Here is a 25832-nt window from a genome sequence, read left to right as displayed (position 1 = left end):
TAAAATGCATGTATGGGCCAGGCGCAGTGGCCCACACCTGTAATTCTAGCACTTTGGGAGGACAAGGCGGGTGGATCACCTGAGGTCAGGAGTTCGAGACCAGCCTGGCCACCATGGCAAAACCCTGTCTCTACTAAAAATACAAAAAAAAAAAAAAAAATAGCCGGGCATGGTGGCGGATTCCTGTAGTCCCAGCTACTCAAGAGGCTGAGGCAGGAAAATCACATGAATCCAGAGGGTGGAGGTTGCAGTGAGCTGAGATCCTGCCACTTCACTACAGCCTGGGCAAACAAATGAGACTCCGTCTCAAAAAAAAAAAAAAAAAAAAAAGCATGTATGACTCAAGGAGAGGGTAGAGGGCTCTGGGAGGTCTTCTCCCCACAGTACATGAGACTGAGATGGCTTGTCGTCTTGGATGACACCTGCCTGGCCCTTGAGGGACTGAGATCTGGGATGAGGAAGTACATGGTGAGGGAGGCAGGGGCTTCTGCCCACAGCACACTTTGGTCAGCCGGAGGCCACTGTAGGAGCCTCCAGGGAGTTCTCTTTGAGGTGGGCTCCCCAGAAGGGTGGGGCAGCGTGGGGCACTGGATCAAGGACAGCAGGCCACAGTTGAGGGGCTCTCCAGCCATGCTGAGAGAAGGGGAGGGGACCTGCGGCATCGTGAGGAAGGGTGGCCTTGTGTTTTTTTTGTTTTGTTTTGTTTTGTTTTGTTTTGTTTTGTTTTGTTTTGTGACAAGGTCTTGCTCTGTCTCCCAGGCTGGAATGCAGTAGCGTGATCTCTACTCACTGCAGCCTCAATCTCCTGGTCTCAAGCCATTCTCCCACCTCTGTCCTTCAGGTAGCTGAGACTACAGGCGTGCACCATCACACCCAGGTAATTTTTATTTTTTGTAGAGACAGGTTCTCACTATGTTGCCCAGGCTGGTTTTGAACTCCTGGGCTCAAGCAATCCTCCAGCCTTGGCCTCCCAAAGTGCTGGGATTCCAGGTGGGAGCCTCCGCATCCAGTGCAGCCTTGTGTTTCTTCACCTCCTAACTGGGAAGCTTCTCTGCACGCTGGCTAAGTACTGAAAAGAACAGATAGAGAAAGAAAGCAGCATTTATAAAATAATAATGGCCACATAAAAAATTCATGGTTTCAGGCCAGGAGCAGAGGCTTACATCTGTAATCCGAACACTTTGGGAGGCCAAGACAGGAGGATCACCTGAGGCCAGGAGTTCGAGACCAGCCTGGCCAACATGGTGAAATCTCATCTCTATTAAAAATACAAGAATTAGCCAGACATGGTGGTGGATACCTGTAATCCCAACTACTCAGGAGGCTGAGGCAAGAGAATCGCTTGAACCCGGGAGGTGGATGTTGCAGTGAGCTGAAATCGTGCCACTGCACTCCAGCTTGGGCGACAGAGCAAGACTCCATCTCAAAAAAAAAAAAAAAACATGGTTTCATGTACAAATCAATGCAAAAAACCCACAAAGCATTGCATTGGCCTGAAGATTGTTTGCTCTGCCCTGTTAAAGGGAAGAGGAAGAGAGAAAAAGGGATTAAAAAGTGCCAGCAACTTTGGAAAATAAATCACTGCTGTTTAGATTCTTGCCCTGTAATCAACATTCCCAGTTGCTCTTCCAGAGGTCTGGCCCAGCCGGTGCTCGGCGCTGCCTGACACCTCCTACCTTCTGGCTAGTTTATCTTGCAAAGGGAATATTTGGAAAATATGACACCCTCTTCTGCAAGGGCTCAGCAATTCTATTCAGCACAGCTCTTGGCTCTCATGGAGGGCTGGGGCAGGACACAGGCATTAGAACACCTAACACTAAGAAGTACCTATACTGAATCTGGCTATATCTCGGGTAAGACCATGTCCTGATGTCCTTTGGCTAAAACAGAGAGCCTGAAGGACTGTGACATTTCAGTGTAAAAATGAGACTTGTTTCAAATATTTTAAATAACTTTTTCTACCCAATATATTCGTCTTGAATACTCTGAATCCTCTCCCCTGTGTATGCCCAGCGCAGTCACCTTCTTCTAGGCCCCAGGGAATGAGGCCTTGCTGCCGTCTTGTCAAGGCAGGTCCAATTCTCCTGTCCCTCTCAGTGTCACCACTGCCCCGCCCCTTCAGGGCCATGAAGAGGGAGAAGAGAGCCCCTCCAGCCACCAGGGGCCTTCTGTTCTGAAGTATGTTGGCCCAGGGCTCAGAAGTAAACAGGAAGGCCGGGCATGGTGGTTCAGGCCTGTAATCCCAGCACTCTGGGAGGCCGAGGCGGGTGGATCACCTGAGATCAGGAGTTCAAGAGCAGCCTGGCCAACATGGTGAAACCCCGTCTCTACTAAAAATAAAAAAAATTAGCTGGGCGTGGTGGCACATGCCTGTAATACCAGCTGTTCGGGAGGTTGAGGCAGGAGAATTGCTTTAGCCCAGAAGGCAGAGGTTGCAGTGAGCTGAGATCGTGCCACTGCACTCCAGTCTGGGCAACAGAGTGAGACGCCGTCTCAAAAAAAGAAAAAAAAGAAGTCAACAGGAGGGCCGGGCGCGGTGGTGCAGGCCTGTAATCCCAGCACTTTGGGAGGCTGAAGCAGGTGGATCACCTGAGGTCAGGAGTTCCAGACCTGCCTAACGTGGTGAAACCCCGTCTCTACTAAATACAAAAAATTAGCCAGGCATGGTGGCGCATACCTGTAATCCCAGCTACTTGGGAGGCTGAGACAGGAGAATTGCTTGAACCTGGGAGGCAGAGGTTGCAGTGAGCCAAGATCGTGCCACTGCACTCCAGCTTGGGCAAGAAGAGCAAAACTCCATCTCAAAAAAAAAAAAATTGCTTCAGCTAATAATAATAACAATAATAATATGAACAAATATTCTACCACTTATGCTGCCCCAGGCCCTAAGCACTTTATATGTCATCTCATTTAATCTTCACACTACTCCTGTAGGATTGGTATAACTATGCCCATCTTTCAGAGAAGACTAAATGTCAGTGAACCTCCCAGTGAGGCAGAATCCAGTTTTCAAGCTCTTAACTTTCCAACTCCTCCAACGGTCCCTGGCCTTGAATGGGGGACAGTGGCCATACATGATGGGAGTTTGTCAGGTCACTTGTTGCCCCACAAGGTTGATCTGGGGTACCTTTATTCTCCTCCCCACACAATCTTACCACCAGGACCCATCTCAGTGCCCTCACCCCAGGAAGCCTCCTCCCTCCAACTGTACCAGAATCCACCCACCACCCCCTACCACCAAGTCCTCTCTGGTACTCTCAGTATTCAAAGTGTGGCCTACAGAGCAGCAGCCTGGGCACTGCATGGGGGGAACGCAGACTCTCCGCCCCTCCCCCAAATGCACATTTTTAACAAGACCCCAGGTGGCCCCAGTATACCTAGGGGCTCTGTAGTTTGTTTCTTCCTGTTGTGAAAGGAAAAGAAAAACTCTCAGGACCCCAGTTTTTTCTTGGCAACAGGAAAAAATTAAACTAGAAGCTGAGTCATGCAAGAAGCTGCCTTTCTGTTTGTGCCTAAGCAGATAGCTACAGATAAAAGGCTAGATATCCCCACCACAGGCAGCTAAACTCTATGCTCATCTTATGTAAAGCACCAATTTACAGACTGCTAGAGGAAACGTAACTGATTGTTCCTCTTCCTGCTCCTTTTCCCTTGCAACAAGTAGATTCCCATGCCCTTCCTCTTTCCTCTCCAGCCCACTTTTCCCTTTTAAACATCGAGGCCCTCAACATCATCTTGGAAGAACGACACAGACCATAGACTGTTTCTGTGATTCCGTGTTTCTTCCTCCCTGGCCTGTCCTTAACCTTGGCAAAATAAACTTCTCAGTTGATTGAGACCTGTCTCAGATACTTTTTGGTTTACACTGTACAACTGAGCCCTTGATGATCATTGGTTTCCCACAGTCCTTGAATTGTTTGTTAGGCACCCCCTTTGTCTTTCTGGAGAGATTCTAAGTGGAGCGTTCGTTTGCCCAAATCCCCCAAGACTGTCTGAACTGCCTACTGATTCGAGTATAGAGTAGAGCTGGTGATTTGGAGTCCTTGCCCCCAGCATGATTCATCAGAAGCCCAGTTGAATGGTAGCCGAACTGTCACTATTATCCCAATGGCTCCATGGCCTCTCAGACCCCAGCTTCCCTGGCCTTTAATTGCATAAAGGAACACTTGTTTAAGAACACTTGTTCAAGGTCTTCAGGGAAGACCTTGCCGGGAGGTTCATTAAAGAAGCGACACTTTGATTTTTTATGCTGAAAGAACCCAGCCCCAACTCCGGAATTCTCCCCTAGGGCTGCCTCTCTGGCCCCACAGCTCAGGTATCCCAAGTGCACCCAATGCTCAGTGCATTCTTAGTGGTACAGCCCCGCCGAGTCAAAGGGGAAGGTACCTCCTGCAGGCTCTGGAATTTCAGAGCCCTGTCCATAAAAGACTCTATAGGATTCCTGCGGTCTCTGCCAGGCTACTGCCAAGTCCCCAGACATTGTACTTCTCCCATGACCTTTTAAGCAGCTCTCTGTCTTCTTAATCACCCATTTAACATGTGCATTGGCCCTCAAAGAAAAACTACATATTTACTCTTTCTCACTTCCTGTGAGAAGGGTGGGGCCCACCACTGCCTGCTCGGCTGCAGTTTCTGTGACTCACTGTGGGAGGGGCCTTTCATCGGGCAGGGAAGGGATTTGCGTTCTTTGGAATGCAGGTGTGGGCTGCGCCTCCAGAAGGGTTTGCTGATAGAGTTGTGGGAAGGCAAACCTGTTAAGTAACAGCACATTGTGGTGTGTGTGCGTGCATGGTACGTGTGCGTGTATGTGTGTGGTATGGGGGAGGGTGCGTAGTGTTCATGTGATGTTGGAGGGGTATGTGTGTGGTACATGGTGTGTGCATAGTGTGTGGTGTGTGTATGGTGTACCGTGTGTGTGCATGGTGTGTGTTTGGAGGTATGTATATGTGTAAAGTATATGTGTGTGGCATATGGTGTGTGAGTGTGTATGTTGTACTGTGTGTGTGTGTATATGGTGTGGTGTTTGTATGTGTGTGGTGGGGTGTATGGGGTGCATGTGGTATATCTGTGTGTGTGGTATGTGTGACATGAAGGTGTATGGGTGTGTGTGTGGTGAAGGGTCAGTGTGGTATGAGGGTGCACGCGTGTGTGCTATGTGGTGTGTGGTTTCGTGTGGTGAGTGAGGCATATGGTGTGTGCCTGCTCCTCCTTCGGCCCCTTGGAAGAAAGGGCCTTCTGTGTTCTGGTAGCCTTTGGCAGGGCCAGAGTGCCAGAACATTCTCTCTGTAATGAGTGTCTGCTAGTCTACTTGGGTGCAGCCCCAGGCTTGCCCTTACAGAGAATGTACCTCCTTGTGATGGTTGTAGTTGGCGTCAGAGTGTTTTGCCCCATTCTCTGAGAAGGCCAGTCCCAAGCTTTCAGGGTGTGGATCTGGAGGTGGCCTCAAGTCAAGCCATGGAGGCCAGCCTCAGCCTCAGCGTGGCCCCAGCTCAAGGACAAGGGAGCCCTGGGGCTGGGCCGGGCATCTGCACTCACTTACGTGTGCAAGGCCCCCAAGCCTTGGTCCATGTCCAGACCAGACCAGCACAAGATCAAGGAGAGTGCAAACGCCAGGACTTCCTTTCCCTTCTCTGTTTGAGAGCAGGTGTTGTAGTAGGGTTAGGAGTGTGAATTCTGGAACTAGTCTTCTGCTTCCAATCTCAGCAGAGACAGAGTCCCGAGGCAAGCTAACCTCTCTGTGCCTCAGTTTCTTCCCCCATAAAGTGGACAATAGTAGCATCCGCTTCATAGTGTAGTTGTGAGGATTAAAAGGATTAGTTCATGTAAGGAGCTAAGAATAGTAGCTGGCATACAGTAAGCTAACCATTATTCTTTGGGAACATGAATCAATGTCCTAGAGTGTGGCAGGGATGGGATAAGGGAGGCATTTTAATTCTCCAAAACCTGAGAGACAAAGTTCATCCAAAAATGTTTCTATATTGTTGAAAATAAAAGACCTCCATGACACTTCTTCCTGTTCTTGGGGGGATACATTTTTTTGTTTGTTTGTTTGTTTGTTTGTTTGAGACGGAGTTTTGCTCTTGTTGCCCAGGCTGGAGTGCAATGGCGCGATCTCAGCTCACCACAACCTCTGCCTCCCGGGTTCAAACAATTCTCCTGCCTCAGCCTCCCGAGTAGCTGGAATTACAGGCATGCGCCACCATGCCCAGCTAATTTTGTATTTTTAGTAGAGACGGGGTTTCTCCATGTTGGTCAGGCTGGTTTCAAACTCCCAACCTCAGGTGATCTGCCTGCCTCGGCCTCCCAAAGTGCTGGGATTACAGGCGTGAGCCACTGAGCCCAGCTTGGGGGGTACATTTTTAGATGGCATGTTAGCAAAGCTCTAATGCTGCTTAAGGAGAAGACATTACCTTAGGGAAAAATAGTAAACCTATGGGCTGGTATTCAGGCCTAAGTATTTTCCATTTTTAGAATTAACTCCATGGTCTCTAAAATATAGAAGAATATTATCAGGCCAGGCGCAGTGGCTCACGCCTGTAATCCCAGCACTTGGGGAGGCCGAGGCAGGTGAATCACTTGAGGTCAGGAGTTTTACATCAGCCTGGCCAACATGGTGAAACCTCATCTTCTACTAAAAATACAAAAATTAGCAGGGCATGGTGGCAGATGCCTGTAATACCAGCTACTCAGGAGGCTGAGGCAGGAGAATCGCTTGAACCGGAGAGGCAGGGGAGGCAGAGGTTGCTGTAAGCTGAGATCGTACTACTACCCTCCAGCCTGGGAGACTGAGCGAGACTCCATCTCAAAAACAAAATAATAAATAAATAAATAAATAAATAAATCCACGTCACTGGAAAATGCAACAGTATATCAATGATTTGTGCATCCATTCATTCACTTATTCAACAACCGTTCATTTATTGATATAAACTATATGCCAAGTTTTATGTTAGATTGGTATTAAGGCTATAAGGATGCAAGAGATATATGGCCCTGTCTTAATGTGACCATAAGCAGTCTACAACATTTTACATTATAATAGGATCAATAAAAGAAGAAATATAGAAGATACCATAACATATTTACATCAGGATTTGTTAACTAGTTTGGAATTATAAAAGCAAATCTTCTAACATCCCCAAACACAAACATGCTATGCTATCTGTTGAGAAATTCAGAAGCACATTCATAACAGCTGGGGGTAATTTAGAGGTTTACAGTCAGACAAGCCAAACAACAGAAATCATTTGAGAAAAGGAAAAAACCACATCTCCTCAGGCAAATGATTTCTAGAGGTGGCAATGTAAAACAAAAGAATTCAAAAATAGAATAGCATTCCCTTTCATAAGCACTGTTTACTATAATACCACATATTCACGTAAACTCAATGGGTACCTCTTGTACCAAGAAAATCTAATGCTTTCATTAAACAAAAAGAGCACTCTAGTTCTTTAAAGGAAAGGAATTGTTGTCACATAAAACCTATTGCCTAGCAACAAAACAGCAACTCATCACACCTTTCCTCCAGCCATAGACACAGCCTCACCCTCTTGCCTGCTCATTCCTCTTGACTCCAGAGTTCTTTTAATAGTATCTGTGGTTGGAATAACTGAATTTTAAGTTTTAAACACCAGTCAATATAAAGTCCTGCCAATTGCTAAGCATTTAATCCTATAGTCACAGCCTCTGAAATGGCCACATTATAAAACAAGAAAACCAAGGGGCTGGGTTTCCTTTTCTCTTCTTTTTCCTATCCTGAAAACCTCACAGGCAGTGTCCCGAGACACTGTCTCCACCAGGAGCACCGGATGGTCCTTCTCTGGCTTTCATGCTTAGTGTGAAGATGGACTCATGCAACACAGCACTTCTTTTCAGTCTAAACCCATTGTAAAAACCCACGTCTGTTTCAATGCCAGATTCGTTTCATTGCCTATTGCTAAGCCCACATGAGCAACTCATCTCACTTTCAAATGTTATGTCTAACAGAACCATTGGCCACGATGTTTGGAAGTGAGTTGCTAACCAACATTCTATAGAACAGTGTATTCAGTGATATGACTCACAGATAAATTACTTCACCCTCGTGGACCTCAAACTGGGTGTGCCACTTGCTGTAGATCGACTCAGTGCTTAACCCTTCCAAGTACGAGGAAATTCTCACCAGTCTACTTTCTCCACAAAGTCTCAAACATTTCTGAGTGGTGGCAAGGGTGTCTATAGAAGGCAGAAACAGGGAAAACGACAGGACATAGGGGACTACTGCCTCTTAGAGTATGATTTGCTGTTCTTCAAAACTGTGTGTTTCAACTATCAACAGGGGCAGTGATTCTAGGGAAATGCAAATTTCACCAGTTCCACAATTAGACATAAAAACAGGAATAACTCTTTCATCTCTAGTGATATGGGCAGATTTACATCCAAGAGTTCAATATTTCATGAGGTTAAACACATCATCCAGTCCCGTTTGTCACCCTTTTGGAAACGGGCTTTTAAAGTGTGTTTTTCTTTGACAACATTCCAAGGTCTCAAACCCCTAATGCCAGCTAAAAGCCTGAACAGGAGGGAGAGGTCTGTATACTCTACTCTGCGTATGTTCTGCCTAAATGTTTGTACATGTTCTCCTGCACAAATGAACAGGGACCTCACTGTGATGTTAGTGTGAATATTCAGTGGCAGTCATCAAGGACAGATTCCACATTCCCCCATTTCTTTGTGATTTGATGATCTGTCATTTTCTTCCAATCTTCAATCTTCTTTTCCTCTACTTAAGATCAGTTTGTTGTTGTTGTTGTTTGTTTTTGTTTTTGAGATGGAGTCTTGCTCTGTTGCCCAGGCTGGAGTGCAGTGGCGCGATCTCGGCTCACTGCAAGCTCCGCCTCCTAGGTTCATGCCATTCTCCTGCCTCAGCCTCCCGAGTAGCTGGGACTACAGGCGCCCGCCACCACGCCCAGCTAATTTTTTTTTTGTATGTTTAGTAGAGACGGGCTTTCACCGTGTTAGCCAGGATGGTCTCGATCTCCTGACCTCATGATCTGCCTGCCTCGGCCTCCCAAAGTGCTAGGATTACAGGTGTGAGCCACCGTGCCTGGCCAGCATGGCATAGTCTTAATACTGTTAATAGAGGGGTTATGATTTCTGCAAGAATTAAGAAGAAACTAGAGTCATAAGCCAATCCAAGAAACTAGGAAAGTTGCTTTAAGGGATACCTTCACTTCTTCATAATCTAAGCCCCCAGATGTGTTGGCTGTGCCCCAGACCCCACCATGAAGTGAGGCTCTGCCTCCTGGAACATGTTCTCAGGCCAGCACAGAGGTGCTCGGGGTGGAAGGGCATTGCCTTGGAGACACCTTGACTCCTTATTCTTCCTTCTGGATGACCTCAGGCAAGTTTCTTCATGTCTCTTACTCTCAGGTTTCTTTTCTATAAAAATTAAGTTCATAATAGTCCCTATCTCTATTTGTACAGGTTAAGTAAATAACACTGATAACATTCTTAGTACCATGTCTGACATGTGGTAAGTGCTCAGGAAACACTGGTCGTGATTAATAAGAAGTGAAATGGCCGAGCGCGGTGGCTCACACCTGTAATCACAGCACTTTGGGAGGCCAAGGCGGGCAGATCACGAGGTCAGGAGTTCAAGACCAGCCTAGCCAAGATGGTGAAATCCCATCTCTACTAAAAACTACAAAAATTAGCTGGGCGTGGTGGCTGGCGCCTGTAATCCCAACTACTCGGGAGGCTGAGGCAGGAGAATTGCTTGGACCTGGGCGGCAGAGGTTGCAGTGAGCTGAGATTGCTCCCCTGCACTCCAGCCTGGGCGACAGAGTGAGACTCCATCTCAAAAAATAATAATACTAATTTTAAAAAAAGAAGTGAACCATGGTTTGGAATTATTGAGTGAAACCTGGGCTTTGAGAGTAGGAGTGCTAGCCAGGTTGGATTGTGTGTTAGTTTACTCAGGCTGCCATAACACAATTCCACAGACTGGGTGGCTGAAACAACAGAAATCTATGTTCTCATCATCCTGTCAAATAGAAGTCTGAGATTAAAGTGTCGGCAAGGTTGGTTTCTTTTGAGGTCTCTCACCTCGGCTTGCAGATGACCGTCTTCTGCCTGTGTCTTCACATGCCTGCACCTGTCTGTCCAGATTTCCTCTTGTAAACACATGAGCCATATTGGATTACAGCACAACTAATGACCTAATTTTAATTTAATTACCTGTTTAAAGACTCTATTTCCACATACAGTCACATTCCTAGGTACTGGGGAAGTTAGGATTTCAACAGAGGATTTTTTTTTTTTTCGGTGGGAAACACAATTCAACCTCTAACAGTTTGGAAAATCTATCTACTTTACTTGGGCCTTTTCAAGAAAATGAGATGGGGCCAGGCGCAGTGGCTCACGCCTGTAATCCCAGCATTTTGGGAGGCTGAGGCCGGCGGATCACCTGAGGTCAGGAGTTCAAGACCAGCCTGGCCAACATGGCGAAACCCTGTCTCTACTAAAAATACAAAATTAGCCAGGTGTGGTGGTGCATGCCTGTAATCCCAGCTACTCAGGAGGCTGAGGCAGGAGAACTGCTTGAACCTGAGAAGCAGAGGTTGCAGTGAGCCGAGATCGTACCATTGCACTCCAGCCTGGGCAACAGAGCGAAACTCCATCTGAAAAAAAAAAGGAAAGAAAGAAAATGAGATGGGCTTTGAAGAGACCAGGTAAAGGCATGCTCTCTGCCCTGCCCTACCCACCACCAACTCTGCTCATGCCTGGCCCACGACGGGGCCCACTGGCTACTAGCACAGGCTGCCACATTAAAGGGCTTCTTCTAACACTGCCCAGCTACCAAAATGCACAGCCCATGGGTGTGTGTGCTAAATTTTATCTCCTCAAATTCCTATGTCGAAACCCTAACACCCGATACTTCAGACTGTGACCTTATTTGGATTGGGATAGGGTCTATACAGAGGCAGTGAAGCTTAAAATGAGGTCAGTAGAGTGGGCTCTAATCCAAAACGGCCGGTGTCATAAAAGGGGAAATTTGGGCCCAGAAGCATACATAGAGGAAGAGGATGAGAAGACAACGAAAAAGCAGCAATTTACCGGGCAGAGAGGCCTGGGACAGATCCTTCCCTCAGACCGCAAGAGGAGCCAGCCCTGTCCACACCTCGATCCCAGACTTCTTCTTTTTAAAAAACAGAGACAGGGTCTTGCTGTGTTTTCCCAGCTGGTCTCAAACTCCTGGCCTCAAGTGATCCTCCCTCCTTGGCCTCCCAAAGTGCTGGGATTATAGGTCTGAGCCACTGCACCCAGCAGATCCCAGGCTTCTACCCGCTAGAAGATGAGAAAATACATTTCTATTGTTTCAGCCACCTGGTCTGTGGTACTTTGTCACGGTGGCCCTAGCAAACAAACACACCATGCTTTCTTCATGTATTTGACAACCATTTAATCACTTTATCTGGTATGTTTGGCCTGAAGACACAATCAATAATAATAATATACATGTCCTGCCTTTAAGAAGCTTGTAGGCTTTGTGGCGGAACAATTACATTTAAAAAATCATTTGGGTTCAATGTGGCTGGCATTCCATCTCCTTATAAGTTGGGAAGTACATTTTCAGCTTTTATTTTAATTTTGCAGCAAAACACTGACTTTTGCTAAGAAGGAGCCACTGTTTGCGGGATTGGGGCACGTTAGGCCTCCCTCAAGCCTCCTGTCCAAGTCACCTAACTCCTAATCCAATTCAACTGCCCCCTAATATTTCCTCTGCACAGGATCAGAGCGCCTCGGGCAAGGCAAATCAGATCTTACCATAGCTCAACCCATCCCCTCTCTGGCTTAAAGCACTTCAGTGACTTCCCATTTTCCAAGGATAAGTCAAATTCCGTAACACCTATCTATGCCCTGGCACGGTCTCCAGCCTCTGCCCCACTGGCTTTGCTTCCCACACCAGAAACTTTGGCTTCTCTTGTGCCTGCATCGCTCTTCCCCGCTCTGTTGACCTGGTTCATCTACAACCCTCCAGATCTTAGTTTATTCATCATTTCTTCTAGGGAGCTTCCCTTGAGGACCCGGCTTAAAGCAAATCTCCCTTATAATAACTTTAGCACCAGGTGCAGCAAATACATCTTCTTATCACAGCTGAAATGTTTCGACTATTTGTGTATTGGTTTGATAACTCTAAGCTCCACAATGGCATGTCTATATTCATACACTAAAATATCCTTACACGCCTGTAATCCCAGCACTATGGGAGACCGAGGCGGGCGGACCATGAGGTCAAGAGATTGAGACCATTCTAGCCAACATGGTGAAACCCCGTCTCTACTAAAAGTACATAAATTAGCTGGGCGTGGTGGTGCTCACCTGTAGTCCCAGCTACTCGGGAGGCTGAGGCAGGAGAATTGCTTGAACCCGGGAGGCAGAGGTTGCAGTGATCAGAGATCACGGCACTGCACTCCAGCCTGGCGACAGAGTGAGACTCCGTCTCAAAAAAAAAAAAATTATATATATATATATATATATATATATATATCCTTAGTGCTTAGACACATGGTGAGAACTCGATAAATATTGGTTAAGTGAATCAGTGAGTAAACGAGTGAATGGGTCAATACTGATCCTTAGAATTTCCAACTGGGGAAGCAGTTATAGTATTTGAAAAACAGGGCCAGGTGTACTGGCTCACACCTGTAGTCCCAGACTATGGGAGGCTGAGGCGGGTGGATCACTTGAGCGTTCAAAACCAGCTTGGGCAACATGGAGTAGAGTAAGTAGAGTAAGACCCTGTCTCTACTAAAAATACAAAAAAGTTAGCCAGGCATGATGGTGCATACCTGCAGTCCCAGCTACTTGGGGAGGCTAAGGAGGGAGGATCACTTGAGCCCAGAAGGTCGAGGCTGCAGTGAGCTGAGATTGTGCTGCTGCATTCCAACCTGGGCGACAGATGGAGACCCTGTCCAAACAAACAAACAAACAACAACAACAATGAAAAACAAAAACAGAAAAGAAAAACAGTAAAGTATTAGTGAATACAGGAAAGTGAATACACATTTGAGTGCCATTGTGGCAACAAATTTTTTGCAAAGTTATTTGTCATTGAGAAGCTTATTTTATCTGTGAAAATTAAATTTCTCCTATCACACTTTGAATATATTTCTCAAATATTTATTTAGCATTCTATTCACTACAAACTCTCTCATTGCACTTTCAGAGAATTTTTTTTTTTAGAGACAGGGTCTCGCTCTGTCACCCAGGCTGGTGTGCAGTGGTGCAATCATAGCTTACTGCAGCCTTGAATTCCTGGGCTCAAGTAGTCCTCCCTCCTCAGCTTCCCATAGAAAATTTTTAAGTAACTCTAATCTGTTTTTTAAAAACAACTGAACACCAGTTGACTCTTGACAAACTACCAGATTTCATTGCTGGACTAAGAATTTTCTAGACCTTCTGGATATTAATTGAATATGGAATGAGTTTTAAGGAACTGTAGGGTAAAGGTGCATCTGCTTCATAGTTGATCTGTGAAATGTTTAATGGGTTGTACTGGTGTACAGAGGATTATGAGTCCAGAGGCCCAGACCCGCAGGAGTTCATAATCCATCACGGTGCATATAAATGTAAACAACGTTACAGTGCAGCAAGATACGTGCTACCAGCGGAATGTGCAAAATGCTATCACCTTCACACAGCCCACGGAAAATACAAGACTCTTACACCATGACTCCAACTCTCCAGATTTCAATAAGTGTTATGATTTGAAGAGGAAATATACCGAATAGATCAAGACTTAATTGCCTTGATAGTCCACTAACAGAACAATTAATTTCATAGTTGTCCTTCCTTACCTTTTAGAAAAAGGGAGCTAACATGTTTCCTTATGTTGTCAGCTTCTGTAAAAAACAGTTCCTCTCTTCTTATCATGACTTTGTCCTTGTCTCCGTCTTCTGTTCACCTCTGCCTCCCTGCAATGTATAATTATTTTTTAAATTTGTGGTTGGTCTTTTGGCACTGGGCTCCCTAAGGGAGATGAATTAATATTTCCTAAATCCCCTGACTTTTGCGTGAATTCTTGATCTCTGGCTTTTGTAGAAATAGAAAATAAGCCATTTAAGAGTTTGGAGTAAATGGGGAAGTCAGAATCCTAATTTACAGGCTCAATCTTTCACTTAGGTTTGGGGTGTATGTAATGAAGCTCTCTACAAACGATGTGGAAATTGAAATAGGAAATGAAAATGTTACCCATTTAGTGCAAATGCTTTGTTAGCCACAAGCATAATGTATCATTAAGTGCTTCTCTTCTAATGCCACTGGGTATAATTGTGTTGAGTCAAAATGTTTTCAGCTAATATACTTTTTAATCCATAAGCCCCAATTAGGTTTTGAAAATATTTACAGCTATAGCTATTATAAAGTATCTGCATTCGTGATTTCCAGAAAGTAGAGTTTTGTTTTTTGTTTTTTTTTTTTTTTTTTTTTGAGACAGGGTCCCACTCTGTCACCCAGGCTGGAGTGCAGTGGTGTGATTTTGGCTCACTGCAGCCTCCACCTGCCAGGCCCAACTGATCCTCCCACCTCAGCCTCCCGAGTAGTGGAGACTACAGGCACGCACCACCACACCTGGCTAATTTTTGTATTTTTCGTAGAGATGGGATCTCACTGTGTTGCCCAGGATGGTCTTGAACTCCTGGGCTCAAGTGATCCTCTTACCTTGGCCTCCCAAAGTGCTGGGATTACAGGCATGAGCCACCGCACCCAGCCAAAAGTGGAGTTTCTTGCTATGTAATTAGCTAACAAAAGATATTCCTTCTAGCAGTAGAGGCAGTTATGCCTCTGCCTGGTGACCTAGGTGACCTGCAGGTGACAGGAGAGCCTTTCCTCCCTAGGTCTCTGTTTCCTGGACCTCAGCAAGACTCTTTAGCCAATCACATGTAGAGTTACGTGATAAGCCAAATGGCCATTCATTCACTCATCCAATCATTCATTCATTCAACTAATATTTACTGAGTGCCTTCAGTGTACCAGGTAAAGTGGCTGTCCGTGGAGTGTACGTTCTAACAAGCAAAACGACCATAAATGTATGAACAAATTGCTATGTACTCTAATGTTGGGTAGAATTAAGTGTTATGAAGATGTTGGAGCAGAAGAAAGGGTTGGAGTTGATGAGAGCACTGTTTCAAATGGGGTGAACAAGGAAGGCTTTCTGAGGAAGCCGCATTTAACAGATCCCTGAAGGAATTGAGGGAGAGCCATTAAATACCCCGGGGGAAGCGTGTCCCAACAGGGGGAGGAGCAAATGCCAAAGCACTAAGACGAGGGTGTGTCCAAGATCCAATGTCAAGACAATTTTTCTTTCCTATCTTAATTGGGTTGAAACCGCCTTTGCTAAGATTGAAACAATAAGAAAATTATGACAGTGAAAGAGACCTGTTGATCTAACCAACTCCATCTTGCCTTTTTTTTTTTTTTTTCGAGATACAGTCTCGGTCTGTCGCCCAGGCTGGGGTGCAGTGGCATGATCTCAGCTCACTGCAAGCTCCGCCTCCTGGGTTCACGCCATTCTCCTGCCTCAGCCTCCCCAGTAGCTGGGACTACAGGTACCCGCCACCATGCCCGGCTAATTTTTTATTTTTTTTTATTTTTAGTAGAGATGGGGTTTCACCGTGTTAGCCAGGATGGTCTCGATCTCCTGACCTCGTGATCTGCCTGCCTCGGCCTCCCAAAGTGCTGGGATTACAGGCATGAGCCATCGCACCCATAATATGCCTTTAACCTCCAAACTGCCTTTGGTCATTCCTGGGTTTGGGTCAAGCTAACTTTGGGAAAAATTTAGTTTATGGTTTAAATGATAATACCCGAACCACCCTTGTAAAACTAACCACCAGGTTAGGAGGATGAGAGGTGCCTGAACTCTGCTAAAACGTAAGCATAGTTAAATGACTACCAGCCACCCTTGCTGCCACTAACATGGAGACTTTGTACCGTGTCCCATTCTTAGTGCTCGAATGTCCCAACCTGAAGCTGAAGAAGCCGCCCTGGCTGCAAGTGCTGTCGGCCATGATTGTGTATGCTCTGATGGTGGTGTCTTACTTCCTCGTCACTGGAGGAATAATTTATGATGTTATTGTTGAACCTCCAAGCATTGGCTCTATGACTGATGAACACGGGCATCAGAGGCCAGTAGCTTTCTTGGCCTACAGAGTAAATGAACAATGTATTATGGAAGGACTTGCATCCAGCTTCCTGTTTACAATAGGAGGTTTAGGTTTCATATTCCTGGACCGATGGAATGCACCAAATATCCCAAAACTCAATAGATTTCTTCTTCTATTCATTGGATTCGTTTGTGTCCTATTGAGCTTTTTCATGGCTAGAGTATTCATGAGAATGAAACTGCCGGGCTATCTGATGGGTTAGAGTGCCTTTGAGAAGGGCTATCTGATGGGTTAGAGTGCCTTTGAGAAGAACTCAATGGATACTGGATTTGCTCCTGTCAATGAAGTTTAAAGGCTGTCCAATCCTCTAATATGAAATGTGGAAAAGAATGAAGAGCAGCAGTAAAAGAAATACCGAGTGAAAAAACAGGAAGTGTATTGAAGCTTGGACTAGAATTCCTTCTTGGTATTAAAGAGACAAGTTTATCACAGTATTTTTTTTTCCCCTGCTGACCCATTGCTGTACCAACGATGTTGAGTGGCATTTTCTTCTTAGTTTTTCATTTCTTAAAAAAAAAAGCTCCATATTTACAGCTATAATATCAAATAAAGTGATTATTTTTTACAACCCCCTTAACACCTTTTGGAGATGGCGTTTCTGTTTTCAGAAATTAACGTAAAATCAAGAAGCAAGATTCCATAAGCTGAGAACTCTGGACAGCTGATCAGGTTTACCTATGGTGCTTTGCCTTTAACTAGAGTGTGTGACGGTAGATTATTTCAGATATGTATGTAAGACTGTTTCCTGAACAATAAGATGTATGAAAGGAGCAGAAATAAATAATTTTTCTAATTAAAAAAAAAAATGACTACCAGCCATTATTCCGGGGGTCCCAAGATCTGCAACTTCCCTGTTACTCCTATAAATGACATCACTATTGTAGAACCTAAGACTAGCCTTTTGAGATGTCTTTTCAGGCTTTTGCATTGCTGACTACCAGATGGCCCCAGCCAGACCAGCAACTCCTCTGGGGGTCCCCACCCTGAAGTGGACTTAGCACAAGAGGGCCGTTCTCCACTGTCCTGTGATTGCATTCCCCAGCCAATCAGCATTGTCCCTTCCTTAGCTCCCTGCCCACTAAACTGTACTTGGCCTCCAAACTGTACTAGCCTCCGAATTTTTGGGGAGATTGAGTAGTGTCTCTTTTTCCATGTGGCATGGCCAGCCTCAAATCAATTAAACTCTTTCTTTACTGCAATGCCATGGTCTCAATGGATTAATTTTGTGCAGCAGACAGGAAGAACCTGTCAGGTAATTGCAAAACCAGGAGCAACACATTCAAAGTTAATCTCAAGTGAGATCAACCATTTTCAAACTTTGGTGTTGCTCAATGATTCATTAGAGTTATCAGAGCTCAATACAAATTTGTTAATCTGGAAAGATTTAAGACATTTATTTCCTACTCTTTTATACCTTCTAGTAGCTAGTATGTATGTATGGAGGAGGGTAGGGGATTCAGACAAGTTCAGGCCAATAAAAGGGAACAAAAATTACTGGGTGAAAAAACTCACCCTGGCCAGGCACAGTGGCTCACACCTGTAATCCCAGCACTTTGGGAGGCCTAGGTGGGAGGATCACTTGAGCCTAGGAGTTCGAGACCAGCCTGGGCAACATGGTGAAACCCCATCTCTACCAAAAATACAAAATTAGCTGGGCATGGTGGTGGGCACCTGTAGTCCTGGCTACTCAGGAGGCTGAGGCAGCAGAATTGCTTGAACCCGGGAGGCAGAGGTTGCAGTGAGCTAAGATCACGCTTTGCACTCCAGCCTGGGCAACAAGGGCAAAACTCCATCTCAAAAAAAAAAAAAAGAAACTTGCTTTTCTACCTCAGATCACCAGCCTGCCATAGTTTATTCCCTTCTCTTTATCTGGGCTCTCATCTCTCCCACAACAGAAGAAAGACTTTAGGTCCTTATTGCCCTCAAAGAATGTGAGCTATTTATTCTCTGACCTCATCACACTTTGTGCCTCTCTCCGGTTATCTATGTGCATCTTATCCATCACCCTCACTGGCTTTGCTGGAAAGTTTAAATTTAATAATAAAACTTATTTTTTTGAGACGGAGTCTTGCTCTGTCACCAGGCTGGAGTGCAGTCGTGCGATCTCAGCTCACTGCAACCTCTGCCTCCTGGGTTCAAGCAATTCCCCTGCCTCCCGGGTTCAAGCAATTCCCCTGCCTCAGCCTCCTGAGTAGCTGGGATTACAGGCTTGCGCCACCATGCCCAGCTAATTTTTTGTATTTTAGTAGAGATGGGTTTTCACCATGTAGGCCAGGATGGTCTCGATCTCCTGACCTTGTGATCCGCCCACCTCGGCCTCCCAAAGTGCTGGGATTACAGGCATGAGCCACTACGCTCGGCCAAACTACTCATGTTTTGCAGTGTGTCTGTGTTGATCTGCTATAATGATGTCTGTCTCTCAAACGTGTGATTTCTGGATAAAATTCCTTCACTATCTTCTTTTCTAAAAACCTGCATCCACTTAGGTATGTCACCTTAAAACAGTTTACCTATAAACCTCAAGGAAATGATGATTAGTGTCTACTATGGAAGGATTTGTCTTGTTTAAAGTCTAATGAGGGCATATGCTGGGTCAGAGTTTGCTCTTAAGAAGAGGAAACTCGCCGGGCGCAGTGGTTCATGCCTGTAATCCCAGTACTCTGGGAGGCTGAGGTGGGCCCATCATTTGAGGTCAGGAGTTCGAGACCAGCCTGACCAACATGGTGAAACCCTGTCTCTACTTAAAAAAAAAAAAAAATTAGTTGGGAGTGGTGGCACAGGTCTATAGCTCCAGCTACCTGGGAGTCTAAGGCAAGAGAATCGCTTGAACCCAGGAGACAGAGGTTGCAGTGAGTCAAGATCGTGCCACTGCACTCCAGCCTGGGTGACAGAGTGAAACTCTGTCTCAAATAAATAAATAAATAAATAAATAAATAAATAAATAAATAAAATGTATTATAAAAAAAGAAGAAGAAATTCTTCAATATAATACATAGGGTCAGAAAAATGAAAAAGAAAAATAAAGAAGCAACTAAAGAAGAAGAGGAAATCCCTCGAAATAGAAGCATATATTTTTGGATGTTCATAAAATATGCAGAGGATAAAGGAGGCCAAGTTTGATCCCATTGCAGATGAATACTGAAGCTTAGACATATTCCTTTCTTTCTAATAGTAATTAAAAGGTTTAGTTTTGTTTTTTACTTCTTGTTGTCTAAATGAAAATCGAAACAAAGCAAAGCTGTGACAGTACTTTGTAAATGTGGATGTGCTTTGGAAACCTATCTTCAAGGGTTGGCAACAATGAGACATAAATATTAACAGCTGGCACTTGTATCATGTTCTTCTTTGATAGGGCAGATTTTATCGGCCCCACTTTGAGAGAAAGCTGCGGTCACTGAGGTCACCCAGCTCATCAAAGGTAGAGTTCTGTTTCAGACCCAGGTCTCTGATTCCAAATGCTTGGCTGCGTCTGCCACCCATCCTCTTTCCACAGAAGAATCTGGTTCTCCACAGAAACCAGGAAGGCCTGCAGAGCCGGAGGGCATGCTGTGGTTGCCGTCTTTCATCCCAGCCTGAAACAGATCCTTTTGGAAGGACTCTTGGCTCTTCTGGCCTCTGTCTTCCAAGCCCTTACACACAGACACACACATACATACACGCACACACCCACACACAGCCTTAGAGAACAGAGCCGGGTGTGGAGTCTCTGCCTGCTCCACCGTCACATTTCCACAGAGACAGCCAGGATTCTGTGGTGTGGGAGTGGGAACCGGGATCTCCCTGCCACCCAGGCAAGAATGGGCAGCGCCACGTAGTCACCTCAGCAATTCTCATGATGCAGGGGACGGATGGGGCCTCCAGGGCTTGTTGGCCACCCCTTCCCCCTCCCTCTGGAAAAGCTCCTCAGCTCCAGTGTTCTGCTAGCTGGCTAGTTTTGTACATACCTATTAGAGGAAATGGTGACTAACGTTTATTTATTGAGCACCTGCTATGTTCAACACACAATATTAATTATTGTTTTATTTAATAATTAATTGATTAATGTTATTATTGTTTTAATACATTTATTAATTTATTGTATTATTGTTATAATTAAAATTTCCTGGGCACTCGCCAGGTGCATGAATTGACTCTAATGAGTAGCACAGTGACTCTGGGTGTTGTGGTTATTTTACAGATGGGAAAGGACAGATTGCTTGGGAATTTTGCTCCAGTTTATACAAAGGGTGAGTGGCAAACCCAGGTCTCATTCCAAAACCACTGAACGGTAGACAAGGGACTTAGTGCTGTGAAGGATGGAGACCTGTCATGAAGGATGCGGACCTGTGTATAGCTAACTCTAATAGCAGGTGTTACGGGCTGAATTGTGTCCCCCAAAAAGATATGTTGAGGTCCTAACCCCCGGTACCTCCTAATGTGACCTTATTTGGAAATAGGGTCATTGCAAATGTAATTAGTTTGGGGTCACATTGGAGTAGGGCGGGCTCTTAATCCAATAGGACTGGTGCTCCCATAAGGACAGAAGAGACACAGAGGGAAGATGAGGCTGTGACCACAGAGGCAGGGATGACAGTGATGCTGCCACAAGCCAAGCAATGCCTGGGGCCACCAGAAGCTGGAGGAGGCAAGGAAGCATCCTTCCCTGTGGGTTTCAGAGGGAGACTTCCAGCCTCCAGAGCTGAGAGACAATACATTTCTGTTGTTTTCAGCCACCAAGTTTGCGGTCCCTTGTGACAGCAGCCCTAGGAACCTGGCACAGCTGGCAAGGGAGCAGTGAGCAAGTGAGCAGAACTTGAGGTCAGGGGAGTGGCTAAAACAGAATGGGAAGGTCTGGTCTGCTGCCTTTGCACTGGGTCTTAAAGGATAAGTAGGGTTGAGGAAGTAAAGAGGTGGGCTGCAGGAAAGTACAAGTCCAGGAGCAGCAGCAGGGGTGACTGCGATCAGCCTGGGAGAGGGCAGAAGGCCACATGACCACAGTGTAGGAAAGAAGAGGGTGGTGGGTACACCGGCGGTGGGGATCGGATCCCGGAGGGCTGTGGATCCTCCACACAGGACTCTGGGGTGCAGCCGTCAGCTGTGTGCTCCCCGGCACCTCCTGTGCCCCTGCTCAATGAGTCAGGCCCCCTGGGACCCAAGCTGTCTCCCCTGGGCTCCAGACCCATCTTTCCTGAAGCAAGCATCCCCTTGCTGTGTTAGCCACGATGTGTTACCCTTTTCTGCCTCAATTTTTTTTTTTTTTTTTTTTGAGATGGGTCTTGCTCTATTGCCAGGCTGGAGTGCAATGGCACGATCTCGACTCACTGCAACCTCCACCTCCTGTGTTCAAGTGATTCTCCTGCCTCAGCCTCCCGAGTAGCAGGGATTACAGGCATGCGCCACCATGCCCGGCTAATTTTGTATTTTTAGTAGAGACGGAGTTTCTCCATGTTGGTCAGGCTGGTGTCCAATTCCTGACTTCAGGTGACCTGCCCGCCTCAGCCTCCCAAAGTGCTGGGATTACAGGCATAAGCCACTATGCCTGGCCTGCCTCAATTTTTATAAGGCATCACCGGCCTTATAAAAGCAGGTGTAGCAGCCTGGTCCTATGGCAGAAGGACCCTCCTCTCCTTTTTCACCTTTCACAGGGTCTGGAGTTCTTTCCCTGACTGGGAGGGGCTGGGCCCTAGGATCTTCCCTGAGTCTGGTTAGCTTCTCCCTGCCCTGCATCCTCCTGCCCTGAGGGACCTCTTCGATGCCCCGCCCCTCCCTGCCCCCCTGCTGCTGAGCCTCCCAGACCCCAGCCTGCCCTGGCCATGCCCTCTGCACACTGTGCTTGGCCTTCCCAGCTTCACGGATGGGCGTGGTTCCAGGTCCTAGCTTCTCCCTGACTGCCCAGTCTGCCCAGCCTTCCTTGGCTCCAGCAGGCCCTGTCCTGAGCTATGTCGTTGAAGGTTTGGGAGCAGGAGCGTGCCGTAATCCAAACCACAGCTCTGATTGCTCAGTCAATGCTGAACTAAAAAATAAGCCATGTTGAAGCGTTGTCTGGCACAAATGATGTGCTTAATGACGATCCGTTGGTCGAATGAATGGATAAAGGGGCAAACGTGCAGATTGTTGTAATTGTCCAGGGCGGAGGAACTGAGTTTCTCAATATAGGCTTATCTCATTTCAGACCCAGCCAGCAGCAGGACGAGGCGGAGTGGGGCCCGGGAGGTGGGGCTCTGTGACGCAGGAGAGGAGTGAGGGCTGTGACAATCAGCCGTATAGGGGCAGCCCTGGCTCCACCGCCTCTGGCCACACACCTTGGCTAAGCCACTTAACTTCTGAGCCCCCGCTTCCTCCTTCGTGGGGAGGAGATATTAGTATCCACCCCTCAGAGCAACCTGAGCCAGTAAATGTGGAAAAGGCGATTTTTACAGTTTGTGGTGATCTGCATCCAAGAGATTGGTCAATAGGTGGTAGGACCCCCACATGCTCGACTCTTAATTCCTTGGAGAAGGAATCAGAAGAGCAAACACCACCCAGGTTCTCAAGGATCTGGGTCATCTGGGGAAGGAAGTTACCTGGCAAGCACCCAGGTGAGGGAGAGAACAAAGCTCCAATAATCAGGACCCTCCAGTGTGCTTAATTAGTAAGAATAAATAATGCATGGCTGAGAAAACAGACTAGTTACATGACTGACCAGATCCAGGGAGCAAGCTGAGAACAAAAAGTCGAAGCACAAAGCCAAAGTCGGGCCACCCTGACACGTGTCCACTGCTACAGCCCAAGGCTGTTGGGTCCAGGTCAGCCCTTGGGGCTAGCACAGGGTTCAGATGGACTGAGTTGGCTCTAGCTGGCGGGAGAGGGCTCTGGAGGCTGGGAAGGAGAAAATGGATATAAAAGTGGAACTGTCAGGGATTAGAACAGAGGATGTGGTGGGAGAGGGAGGAAAGGAGTTGAGAACAATGCAGAAGTTAGGAACCAGTGAATGCCAAGCAAGTACTTGAGAGCCTTCAGGGGCGATCTGACCGTGTGTCCTGCCTGGCAGAGGCCTTGGAGTGGAAACAAGGGTTCTTGTATGACTCCCTGAGTGGCTGGGGATGTCCAGATGGCAAGGCTATGCTGCCCGGTTACTCACACGACAGGCAAGCTGGGCCATCGTCCTGGGTGTGTGCCTAGCTCCTTTAGCAACAAATGAGCCCTTCTCAAATGATAGAGCATTCACTTTTTCAGAGATTTATGTTTTAAATGATCACAGTAATTTTTAAAATAGAGATGGGGGTCTCATTATGTTGCCCAGGCTGGCCTCGAACTCCTGGGCTCAGGCGATCCTCCTGCCTCAGACTCCCAAAGTGCTGAGATTACAGGTGTGAGCCACTGTACCTAGCCAAAACGCTCACAATAATTATAACTGAGTAGAAATGAAACATCAGTCTGAATTATATAACAAAAACGTATTTTTAAAGAATGCTGGCTGGGTGTGGTGGCTTACGCCTGTAATCCCAGCACTTTGGGAGGCTGAGGTGGGTGGATCGCTTGAGGTTAGGAGTTCGAGACCAGCCTGGCCAACACGGTGAAACCCCGTCTCTAATAAAAAAATACAAAAATTAGCTGGGCGTGGTGGCGTACACCTGTAATCTCAGCTACTCAGGAGGCTGAGGCAGGAGAATCACTTAACCCTTGGAAGCAGAGGTTGCAGTGAGTGGATATCATGCCACTGCACTCCAGCCTGGGCGACAAAGCGAGACTCCATCTCAAAAAAATAAATAAAATAAAGAATGCTTCACATTTAACAATCAAACAATAAGCATGATATGAAGAGACAAAAGTTAAGGTGAAATATTTAGTGGAGCAGCTCCTGCAGAGATCTTCCTGAGATTCATTTGCTTACAGTGGAATTTCATGAAGATCCACGGTGAAAAAAGAGGAACAATGAGGAGAAAATGTGCCCCATCAGAGGTTAATATCTACTGCTGCAAAGACATAGCCCACAGATGCAAGAATGCATAGACCAATGGAACAGAACAGAGAACCAGCAGATAGACCCAGGGACACATGGGAATATAATATACCATAAAGGTGACATCACAAATCAATGGGAAAAGGATGGATCGTGGCTGGCGGTGGTGGCTCACACCTGTAATCCCAGCACTTTGGGAGGCTGGGGTGGGAGGATCACTTGAGGCTGGGAGCCTGGTCAACATGGTGAGACCCTGTCTCTACTAAAAATACAAAAATTAGCTGAGTGTGGTGGTGCACGCCTATAATCCCAGCTACTTGGGAGGCTGAGGCAGGAGAATCGCTTGAACCTGGGAGGTGGAGTTGCAGTGAGCCGAGATTGCACCACTGCACTTCAGCCTGGGCCACAGAGCGAGACTCCATTTCAAAATAAATAAATAAATAATAAAAGGGTGGATCATGAAGTAAATGGAGCTGGGAAAACTGGCTATCTGTATGGAGAAAAATAAAATTTAACTGCACAGAAGGGTGGACTCTATTTCCAGAGAAAGTCCCAAATGTGGATGGTAAACTAAAATGCTAAGAAAGGAAAATGAAGGAGAATATATTTCTGAAAAGGGGGAGAGAAAATACTTCTAAAAATGAATGTTAAAAACACAAAGCTGGCTGGGCATGGTGGCTCATGCCTGTAATCCCAGCACTTTGGGAGGCCAAGGCAGGCGGAGATCACCTGAGGTCATGAGTTCGAGACCAGCCTGACCAACACGTAGAAACCCCCATCTCTACTAAAAATACAAAAATTAGCCATGCATGGTGGAGTGCGCCTGTAGTCCCAGCTACTCGGGAGGCTGAAGCAGGAGAATGGCTTGAACCTGAGAGGCGGAGGTTGCAGTGAGCAGAGATCGCACCACTGTACTCCAGCCTGGGTGACACAGTGAGGCTCCATCTCAAAATAAATAAATAAATAAATAAATAAATAAATAAATAAATAAATTGAAAGCATGTGTACGTTAAATAATATATACTTTATGGAAAATACATATAAACAGACATGTTAAACACATTAGGATGATGGGGAAAAGAAAATGAGAATAACAAGAAGTAATTAAAACATAAAGAGCTGGATTCAATTCGAATAGGTAGGATCGCTATCAGAAGTCTCTGGGGATAAACGTTCAGTTGAGTCAGTCAGCGCCACATCTTGGTTGGTTCTGTTTTGCTGAGAGCTCAGTGCTTTGGAGAGTTACAAAGGAAAAAGTCCAGGCTCATTCAATCAACCAAACTGATGGAATAAAAATGTTTATTAAGCTCTCTGGGTGTCAGATACAGGGATAGACACCAGGCAATGTAAGCAGATGTCTTCAAGGAGCCATAACCAAGTTCCTGCCTTAAATTAAAACACTTTTACTAATGACAAAGTCTCTTTGATGTAACTAACCATAAACATAAACATTTGGACCCAGTAAATCTGGCTTCCAATGTTTTGAGAGCTGGTATGGTTAGAGAGAATAAAGTCCAATTCATTATTTAGGGGAAGCTTGATTCCCGAGCCTAAGTTAAGAGGGGGAAAGATACAGTTGCTGAAGATGGGTATTCATTCTTTTCAGCTCCAGCGGAGCAGCCTGGGAGCCAGCAGAGGTGCTGGTTGCAATGTGAAAGGGCCAGTGAATGAGACAAGGGAGATGAAACCTGCAAGTTTTACTG

At 46.1% G+C, this 25832-nt stretch overlaps 1 long non-coding RNA gene and 1 pseudogene across 2 annotated transcripts, besides 11 other annotated features; one reads left to right on the top strand and one right to left on the bottom strand.

Annotated features, from left to right (window-relative positions):
* The first annotated feature begins 498 nt into the window (after positions 1-498).
* On the top strand, positions 499-17014 carry OSTCP1 (oligosaccharyltransferase complex subunit pseudogene 1; annotated as a pseudogene). Its single transcript, NR_028496.1, has 3 exons — positions 499-552; positions 760-877; positions 15992-17014. The product of NR_028496.1 is annotated as an oligosaccharyltransferase complex subunit pseudogene 1 (transcript).
* LOC124901448 (uncharacterized) lies at positions 864-4543 on the bottom strand. The gene is made up of 2 exons (XR_007059836.1): positions 4387-4543; positions 864-1069 (listed from the first exon to the last, which is right to left on the bottom strand). It is a non-coding gene; the product is annotated as an uncharacterized LOC124901448 (long non-coding RNA).
* Positions 2333-2857: an enhancer, noted in NCBI's record as "H3K27ac-H3K4me1 hESC enhancer chr6:159276306-159276830 (GRCh37/hg19 assembly coordinates)". NCBI's record gives its function as "activates a minimal SCP1, AML or CMV promoter by ChIP-STARR-seq in naive H9 embryonic stem cells {active_cell/tissue: H9 hESC(naive)}" and the evidence as "EXISTENCE:reporter gene assay evidence [ECO:0000049][PMID:30033119]".
* Positions 2858-3382: an enhancer, noted in NCBI's record as "NANOG-H3K27ac-H3K4me1 hESC enhancer chr6:159275781-159276305 (GRCh37/hg19 assembly coordinates)". NCBI's record gives its function as "activates a minimal SCP1, AML or CMV promoter by ChIP-STARR-seq in naive H9 embryonic stem cells {active_cell/tissue: H9 hESC(naive)}" and the evidence as "EXISTENCE:reporter gene assay evidence [ECO:0000049][PMID:30033119]".
* Positions 3566-3645: an enhancer, noted in NCBI's record as "active region_25373". NCBI's record gives its function as "activates an Ori minimal core promoter by ATAC-STARR-seq in GM12878 lymphoblastoid cells {active_cell/tissue: GM12878}" and the evidence as "EXISTENCE:reporter gene assay evidence [ECO:0000049][PMID:35858748]".
* Positions 3909-4432: an enhancer, noted in NCBI's record as "OCT4-NANOG-H3K27ac-H3K4me1 hESC enhancer chr6:159274731-159275254 (GRCh37/hg19 assembly coordinates)". NCBI's record gives its function as "activates a minimal SCP1, AML or CMV promoter by ChIP-STARR-seq in naive H9 embryonic stem cells {active_cell/tissue: H9 hESC(naive)}" and the evidence as "EXISTENCE:reporter gene assay evidence [ECO:0000049][PMID:30033119]".
* Positions 4419-4528: an enhancer, noted in NCBI's record as "active region_25372". NCBI's record gives its function as "activates an Ori minimal core promoter by ATAC-STARR-seq in GM12878 lymphoblastoid cells {active_cell/tissue: GM12878}" and the evidence as "EXISTENCE:reporter gene assay evidence [ECO:0000049][PMID:35858748]".
* Positions 4419-4958: a biological region, named in NCBI's record as "OCT4-NANOG-H3K27ac-H3K4me1 hESC enhancer GRCh37_chr6:159274205-159274730".
* Positions 4433-4958: an enhancer, noted in NCBI's record as "OCT4-NANOG-H3K27ac-H3K4me1 hESC enhancer chr6:159274205-159274730 (GRCh37/hg19 assembly coordinates)". NCBI's record gives its function as "activates a minimal SCP1, AML or CMV promoter by ChIP-STARR-seq in naive and primed H9 embryonic stem cells {active_cell/tissue: H9 hESC(naive and primed)}" and the evidence as "EXISTENCE:reporter gene assay evidence [ECO:0000049][PMID:30033119]".
* Positions 4809-4858: an enhancer, noted in NCBI's record as "active region_25371". NCBI's record gives its function as "activates an Ori minimal core promoter by ATAC-STARR-seq in GM12878 lymphoblastoid cells {active_cell/tissue: GM12878}" and the evidence as "EXISTENCE:reporter gene assay evidence [ECO:0000049][PMID:35858748]".
* Positions 4959-5484: an enhancer, noted in NCBI's record as "NANOG-H3K27ac-H3K4me1 hESC enhancer chr6:159273679-159274204 (GRCh37/hg19 assembly coordinates)". NCBI's record gives its function as "activates a minimal SCP1, AML or CMV promoter by ChIP-STARR-seq in naive H9 embryonic stem cells {active_cell/tissue: H9 hESC(naive)}" and the evidence as "EXISTENCE:reporter gene assay evidence [ECO:0000049][PMID:30033119]".
* Positions 21485-22175: an enhancer, noted in NCBI's record as "H3K27ac-H3K4me1 hESC enhancer chr6:159256988-159257678 (GRCh37/hg19 assembly coordinates)". NCBI's record gives its function as "activates a minimal SCP1, AML or CMV promoter by ChIP-STARR-seq in primed H9 embryonic stem cells {active_cell/tissue: H9 hESC(primed)}" and the evidence as "EXISTENCE:reporter gene assay evidence [ECO:0000049][PMID:30033119]".
* Positions 22176-22866: an enhancer, noted in NCBI's record as "H3K27ac-H3K4me1 hESC enhancer chr6:159256297-159256987 (GRCh37/hg19 assembly coordinates)". NCBI's record gives its function as "activates a minimal SCP1, AML or CMV promoter by ChIP-STARR-seq in naive H9 embryonic stem cells {active_cell/tissue: H9 hESC(naive)}" and the evidence as "EXISTENCE:reporter gene assay evidence [ECO:0000049][PMID:30033119]".

Source organism: Homo sapiens, chromosome 6, assembly GCF_000001405.40.
Source record: "Homo sapiens chromosome 6, GRCh38.p14 Primary Assembly".
NCBI classification, from domain to species: Eukaryota; Metazoa; Chordata; class Mammalia; order Primates; family Hominidae; genus Homo; species Homo sapiens.
The sequence above is the reverse complement of the archived record's forward strand: the minus strand, read 5'-3'. Positions and strand labels throughout refer to the sequence as shown.